Genomic DNA, 8,877 nt, shown 5'->3' with positions numbered 1-8,877 from the left:
CTTCTCTGTCCAGCCTATGTGACACAGCAAGAGAAAGAGAAAGAGAGAGAAAGGGAGAGGGAGAGGAAAACAGAGAGGAGCCAAAGAAACATAAATGTTCTGTGATTATTTTTAAGTCAGGAATGAATGTTTTTATTTATTTTTAAATAAAACAGAAAAACACCTCTAAAACTCTTGGAAGGTTCATGATCATCTGCCGACCTGTGTTTGTTTCATTCATGAAGTATTTAACTCAGTCCACATCCAACAAAAATATTTAAAGGGCACTCCAGAATGTGTATAACTCTGCCACGAGAGGGCTAGTTTGACTTGGCCAGATGGTCACTTGAATTCCATCATTCATTGATTGATAGGCTTATTATTTCAATATACATTTGTGAGGCACCTGCTATAAGCTAGACCCTAGCAAGCATATTGACTGCCTCATAGTATACATACTGGTGGTTGGATATGGAAGTTGAATTTTATTCTCTAGGCAGTCACAGATGTCATTTTGTCATTTCTGTCTTTCCCTCTACATCCTGCTCTGCCATTTCTCTGGTGCACCATGCCACAGGAGGCTCACTTTATAAACTAGATGATCTGGACTCCCTTTCCTTGTGGCTTCATGGATTTGGCCAGTTGGTGATCAAAAGGCAGGAGGAAAGAGATGCTGAGGTCTTTATTCCCTCAACTCCCTGCTTGCTGAGCTGGAGATTGGTAGTAGCTGCATTTTTCTATTGAAATTCACACCCCTGCCAGGCTTCCCCTTTCTTATGGCTACCTTTTGCTGCATGAGAAATAATGTTATTTCTATATAGACAGTTATAATTATTTGAACTTCTTTATATCACATATAAGTCTACCCAGATTGGAAATAAGAGTTTCTATCAGCATGTGATTTAAATTATAGGATAAGTATTATTCAACTGTTGCTTTTTTGTTACAAGAAATATTAACCCTAAAATGGAAACTTAATTGTGAATTCCTTATTTTTTAACTGTTTGTTTACTTCATGATTTTAGTCATTTTAGTCATTTTAGATATAGTTGAAGGCACTTTATATTAGTAATAAGGTCAAATGTATAACTGTAAATAATAATAATATGTTTTAAAATCTTTTTAATTGAATAATAATTGCATATATTTATGGGGCAAAATGTGATGTTTTGATATATGTTTACACTATGGAATGATTAAATCAGGCTAACACATCTAGCACCTCACATACTTACTACTTTTGTGGTAAAAATATTTAAAATGGACTTAATTTTAAAATATGAAATGCATTATTGTTTATTATAGTCACCATTCTGCACAATAGTTCACTAAATCTTATTCCACTTGTTTAACTGAAACTTTGTACCCTTTGATCAATGCCTTTCTCCATTCACCTCCCTCCCTCCTCAAATTCTGATAACCTTCATTCTACTGTCTACTTGTATGAATTTAGCTTTGTTTTTTAGATTCCACATATAAGTGATCATATGATATTTGTCTTTATTTGCATGGCTTATTTCATTTAACATGATGCCCTTCAGGTTTATCCAGGTTGTCACAAATAATAGGATTTCTCCTCCTCTTAAGGTTGAATAGTATTCCATTGTGTATATAATTATCAAAAAGATGAGTGATAATGTGTTGGCGAGGGTATAAAAAGGGAACCATGGTGCGCTGTTGATGAGAATGTAAGATAATTTGTATAACCTTGTGGAAACAGTATGGGAGTTCCTCAGAACACTAAAAATAGAATTACCACATAACAATAGGTTTTTAATTATATATTTACTATGCTGAGTCCTGCCATTTGTGAGTCAGTCATTTTCTTTCCAATGGGTTTCAGTGACTGTCTCCCCATTTTAAGTATCATGATCACATATCTGTTTACATTCATTGATCTCCTCATCCCCCTGCCCCATGTGTAATTACAGAAGGACTATTATGTATGTGCTTCCAACCTCACTGTGGTGTCCACCTTCAGTTAGGATCATCATTCTCCTGTCTTCACAGCTCAGATGCAGCCCTTTTGTGGACACAGACAAAATTACATTCCTATTTTGCCATAGTCATTCCTACCCTGTACCCTCTGTCCATAGCCTAAAGAATAGGGGAGGTCAAAGTGCCCTTAGGAAAGTTCTTGTGAAAGCAAAATCTCAATTAAGTTTGCAGCTTTCTGAGCACATAACAATCAGAATACACTTTATTTCACTTTTCCATATCTGCAATGGCACATCCTTCAATATTCACACACCATTTCTTCAACAGCAGGGGAGAGCAGGAGAAGGTCACATTTGCCAAGCATTGACTCTGGTCAGGCATTTTTAGTTTCATTTAATTTTTATAAAATCTGTATTAAATTCCTGCTATAATTCTGATTATTTAAATGTAGAAGCTAAAATTTAAAGGGACCAAATACCTTGCTAAACAGCTGATAGATACAGATTCAACATCCAAACTTGCTGTCTGACTTCAAAGTGTATTTTTTTGAAAACTGTATTCTTCTAGTTTTTCTTTTTTGAGGGTGAGCTTTTGTTTATTTTTAAAATTTTTATTTTTAATTATTATGTACCCATTATATTGTACATTGTACAATGTACACATGTATACAATACACATGTATACAATATACATGTGTATATTGTACATAACAATATATATTTTTGATATTTTGATACAGGCATACAATGTGTAATGATCAAATCAGTATAATTGGGGTATCCATCATTTCAAGCACTTATCATTTCTTTGGTCATTGCCATCTGACAGTATTAGTTCTTGAGATTAGGAACAGTCTGGTTCATCTCTCCATCTCTAGCATCTAGCTGGATGAAGAAGATGGTGAGTAAGTGTTGGAATGGGTGTATGCAGTCAAATACCAGTTTTGGCAGTATCAGTTCTCAGTTGAAAGGTTTTAGAGCATTCACTTTGCATGATCTACTGATATCTGCCAAGGCACGTATCTGTGGCTGCTTTTGTTGACGTATTTCTGTAGTGTAAGCAAACCCTGAATTTAGAAAAATGCCTGAGAGATGAAGGAAACCCCAACAGAATTTGCTATTGGATTTTTCTCTTTCTGGATGGCATGGATAAACTTCATTCAATGGACTGTCATGGCTGAGTGGAACCTATGTTGAAGTATTACTTTCATGTCTGCTGTCTTATTTATCTTGGAATGACTTACTCAGTTTTGTTGGAGGAAAAAACAGTTGTTTCTTGTCTGTCATTTGAAGTGGACTCTATAAGGTATTCCATCTATTTTTTTTGAGAGAAATGCTTTTTACTCAAATAATTATGTGGCATGAGTGCTCATATATTTATTGAGTGTCAAACACTGTTGTAAAATGGTAAGTTCTTGATAATTTCTGGTGGTAAGTGTCACGATTGATTGCTTGCATTTTGTATGCTAGGCAGAGTAATGATAATTCAGAGATGAAGCTAACCTGGTAGACTGAGGTTGAATCAGTCTTCAACAAAGGCCTCCACTTTGCGGGGATGAAAAACACAGGTTCATAAAGTTGAGTTTGTTATACTCCACGGTTTATTTCACTCTACGTTTATTGGTCTCTGTCCCTCTTATCCTATTATTTAACTATTTTTCTCCCTTAATATTAATCTCCAACTCTTCCCCCCATTTCCTTTGTTGCAAAAGCATTAAGTCTAATATATTTAGATGTATGTGTTTCCTTGGAAACGATATTTTACAAATATTCTTAAATATTTTACAATATTTTAAAAATATTGAATATTCTTAAAATTTACATAAATGATGTGCTATAGATCTCATTCTTTTTTCATAGACTTTTTACTCAAGAGTTCACGTTAGAGATCTATCCATGTGCTATACGTAATTATAGTTAATTGTGTCAGACTACAGCATAACATTTTATGGTTTAAAAATGATAGTGCTATTGATATAAAACTTATATGCCATAAAATTCATGCTTCAAAATGTAAAATTGGTGGTTATTATTATATTTACAGAGTTATGCAACCATCACCACTATCTAATTTTAGAATATTTCTATCACCTAAAAATAAATCCCATTGGCAATCACTTTCCATTCCATTCTCCCCTCTTCCAATTCCCTGGAAAGCACAAATCTACCTTCTTCTGTCTTCATGTTGTAGCATGTGCCAATAGTTCATTCCTTTGTATAGCTGAGTAATATTCAATTCTATGTATATACCACATTTTGGCTATTCATTCATCAGCTGATAGACATTTTTTCCCACTTTTGGCTATTATGCTTCTATGAACGTTTATTTACAAGAGTTTGTTATGAACATACATTTCAATTCTTTTGGGTATATATTTAGGATTGGAGTTAGTGGGTTTTATGGTAACTTTATGCTTACCTTTTGAGAAGATATTTTACAGCACTATTTAAAAATTCTACCAGATATGAATGAGGGCTCCAACATCTTCAAATCATTACCAACCCTTGCTTTTGTCTGTCTTTTTGATTTTAGCCATTCTAGTAGTTCTGAAATGATATCTTATGGTAGTAAGTTTTGAAATCAGGAAGTCTAAGTCCTTCAACTTTTTCAAAATTATTTTGGCTATTCTGGATTCCTTGCATTTCTAAATAAATTTTAGGATTAGCTCGACAATTTCTTTAAAAGGAAAAGCAGCTAGGATTTTGCTGGACATTGTGTTGAATCTGTAGATCATTTGGGGGAATATTTACATGTCTGCCCTTAGCCTTTACTTCCCAGTTGTACAGAACCTGGTTGTACTTCCTGGTTGTACAGTAAGTCAAGGTCAGCCAGAGATAAGAGATTAGGGAGTTCTCAGGTTATCCTGATTATGGACACAATCCTGCATATGTGCATGGACTTCTGAACAACACTCATCTTCTCCAATTTTTCCTCAACCCCACTACTGCCATCTTGATAGAATCAGTTCTGGATATATTAGTTGGGGTTCTCCAGAGAACCAATAAGATGCATCTATGTCTATCTATCTATCTATCTATCTATCTATCTATCTATCTATCTATCATCTATCTGTCTATCTATCCATTTATTTACATCTTACTGAAAGGTATTGGCTTATGTGACTGTGGAGACTGAGAAGTTCAATGACGTGCTGTCCACAAGCTGAAGATAGAGGAAAGCTTGTGGTGTGATTCAGAGGCCTGAGAGCCAGAGAGCCAATGGTATATGTTCCTGTACAGGTCTGAGGGCCTGAGAGCCAGGAGTGCCCAGGGAAGGAGAAGATCTGTTTCCCAGCTCAAGCAATCAGGCAGAGTGTGAATTCAAGCTTCTTCACCTTTTTGCCCTATTTAGGTCCTTAACAGATTGGATCATGCTCACTCATATTAGGAAGGGCCATCTGCTTTACTCTATTCAATTCAAATGCTAATCTCTTCTGGAAACACCCTCACAAACACACCCAGAAATAATGTTTAACCAGTGATCTGGGCATGCTGTGGCCCAAGTTACATAAAATTTACCATCACAAGTTTGCCACTTGTGAACCTGACACCCATACACATCTCCTTAAACCAGGCTTGATCTCATTAAAGACAATAACAAGGACATAATCCACCTAACATTATACAACTATCCCACAAGCAACTGAAGATGCACTAATCCCTTCCCCAGAAGGTGAGGTAAAGTCCTTGAATGATGTTTACTCTTTTCCTTGATATCCCATAACTTAAAAACAATGATATAAAATTAACAATAGTTAAATTCTGATAAAGTCAATGTATCTTATGTCTCATGATAAAGTAATAAGAGAGGAAAGAAAACAAACACTCACACAAATATATATTTATAACAAACTAAGAAATACTCATGACAAATACAGTCTTTTTTTTATAACTGATAAAATGTCATAGCTGGCATTTATAACTACCTTCTTTTACAGGCTATTTTATATTCCCTGTATCTCCAGCAAGTACTTCAGATGTTCATGATTCTTTTCCTGAAGAGGTGACCCAAACTTTCATTCCTAAAGGGTCTGGACCATTCATAGTCCTGGCTGAATTGGGTCATTGTAGTTTTCCATTGACCTTGATCACAGGGTATGATAATATTAAGAGATGCCCAAAGGGATCTCTTTATTCCAGATATACTCTTCTTTTCCTCCATTATACAGTAGTAGTCCAGTTTCATTTTAGTAGTCCAGATTAATCACCCAGGCAGCACTGTAACTCATTTATTTGCCCATTGATTAAGAGGTATGAGAAATCCAAAGTGGCTGAATGGAATTCTTAATTTCCATTTCAATGGGTTCATTGTTGTGTGACATGCTTTCCTCCCTCTGGACTAAGACCTCTAAGCTAGCGCAGGGTAAGATTACAAGCAAAAGAAGCAAAATGTTTGTTAATGGGTCACTAGGGATTATTGTGAGAGGTGTCACTCCCATTTCCACCACTTGATTACTGGAACTATGTATCCTGGCCATGAGAGAAACAACATATATTGGATGTTGAACCTTGTCCCAGTCATGTAAGTTATTGACACCTAGCTCATGCTGTAAATGAGTCTTCAAAAGGCCATTTCACCATTCTATCAAGCCAGCTGCTTCAAGATGGTGGTTAACAATACCAGTGAATTCCATGAGCATGAGCCCATTGCCACATTTCTTTTGCTGTGAGGTGAATTCCTTGGTCAGACAGCATGCTATTTGGAAGGCCGTGATAAGGCATTTTGTAAGTCCATGAATAGTAGTTTTGGCAGAAGCATTGCCTGCAGTGAAAGCCAATTTGTATCTAAGGTAAGTGTCTATTCCAGTAAGAACAAATTACTGCCCCTTCCATGATTGAATTGGTCTAATGTTATCAACTTGCTACAAGGTAACTGACTGATCACCCTGGAGAGTGATATCATCTTGGGGACTTAGTGTTGGTCTTTACCATTGGCAGGTCAGGCACTCAGTGATGGATATATCAGGTTGGCCTTGGTAAGTGAAGGTCCATGTTGTTGAGTCCATGCATATCCTCCATCCCTGCCACCATGGCCACTTTGTTCATGAGTTTATTGAGTAGTGACAGGGGTGGCTGGAGGAAGGGGCTGACCAGTATCCAGAAATTATATCATCCCATCTACTTGATTATTAAAAGGCCCTGCTGCAGTCATTATTTGCTGAGTATTCACATGGGAGACAAATATCTTCAGATTTTTTTTTGCCCATTTAGAGAGGTGTGCCCACCTACCTCTTCCCCAAATTTCCTTAGAATCAATTTTCCAATCATGTTCTTTTCAAGCTCCTAACCATCCAGCCAAACCACTGGTTACATCCCATTGTACAGAAAGGTCTGTAATCTGGGCCTGAGTCTATGTTTCCTTTGTCAACTGTTTATAGGGAACTCTCTATAATATCGTAGGTACGGGCTGGTAGAGAGAAGTCAGTGTGGTAGGAATAAAAACCATGTGCATTTGGGCCACTTCTTCATGTAACTTACTGATACCTTCAGGGCCTGCCGGGGCCCAATCACATATATACCACTTCCATTTGATGATGGAGTACTACTGTATATACCCAACGTTATGGCTTGGTTGGTCAAATGACACTCAATTCATGATAAGCAGCTCAGCTCACACTGCATGGTAATTTGGTGACCCATGGTTAAGTGCTCAGTCTCTACTAAGGCCCAATGTCAGGCCAATCAGTTTCTTAAAAAGAGAGTTGTTATTGGCAATGAATGACAGGGATTTTCTCCCAAATCCTAAGGGCCTGCTTTGCAATTTACCTATAGGCTCCAGCCAAAGGCTCTAAACAGCATCCCTATCTGCTGCTGACACTTCAAGCACTGTTGAATTTGCTAGGTCATATGGCCCAAGTGACAGCACAACTTGCATTCAGCCTGGATCTGTTGCAGAACCTTCTTTTATTCTGGAACCCTACTCAAAATTAGCAGCTTTTCCAGCCACTCAGTAAATGTGCTGGAATAAAACACCCAAATGAGGAATATGTTGTTCCCCATGCCAAAGAGGCCCACTAGGTGTTGTGCCATACTTTTGGTTGTAGGAGGGGACAGATACAACAGCTTTTCCTTCATCTTAGAAGAGATGTCTCAACATGCCCCGTACCACTGGCTCCCTGGAATTTTCACTAGGTAAAGGGCATTTGAAGTTCTGTCAGATTTGTTTCCCACCCACTAGCATGCAAATGTCCTACCAATAAGTTTAGAGTCATTGCTACTTGCTCTCTAGGTCTAATCAGCATAATGTCATCAATGTAATGGGCAAGTGTGATATTATGTGTAAAGGAAAGGTAATCAAGGTCTCTGATAACTAAATTATGACATAGGACTGGAGAGCTGATATAGCCCTGAGGTAGGATAGTGAAAGTTGTCTTGCTGGCCTTGCCAGCTGAAAGCAACTGCTCCTGATGAGCCTTATTAATAGAGACGGAAAAAAAAGACATCTGCCAGATCAATAGCTACATGCCAACTACCAGGGGAAATGTTTTTTCAAGTAATAAAACCACATCTGGTACAGTAGCTGCAATTAGAGTCACCACCTAGTTAAGTTTGCCATAATCCACTCTCATTCTCCAAGATCCATCTGTATTCTGCACAAGCCCAAAAGAAGTGAATGAGGGCGTGGTGGAAATCACCACCCCTGCATCCTTCAAGTCCTTGATCATGGCACTAATCTCTAAAATCCATCCTGGATGCTTTTGGTTTACTATTTTCCTAGATAGAGGCAGTTCTAGTGGCTTCTACTTGATCTTTTCCACGATTGTAGCTCCAAATTATGGTCAGGGAACTAACATTGAGATTCTGCTAGCTGCTATCAATTCCAACTACGCATTCCAGAACTGGGGAAATGACAACTGGATGTGTTTGGGGACCCATTGGGCCCACTGTGAGACAAAACTGAGCTAAAGCTCCATTGATCACCTGATCTCCATAACCCTTTACTCTGACTGATGTGACACAC

The sequence above is a fragment of the Homo sapiens genome, chromosome 11, assembly GCF_000001405.40.
Source record: "Homo sapiens chromosome 11, GRCh38.p14 Primary Assembly".
Classification (NCBI taxonomy): Eukaryota; Metazoa; Chordata; class Mammalia; order Primates; family Hominidae; genus Homo; species Homo sapiens.
This window is presented reverse-complemented; position numbering follows the sequence as displayed.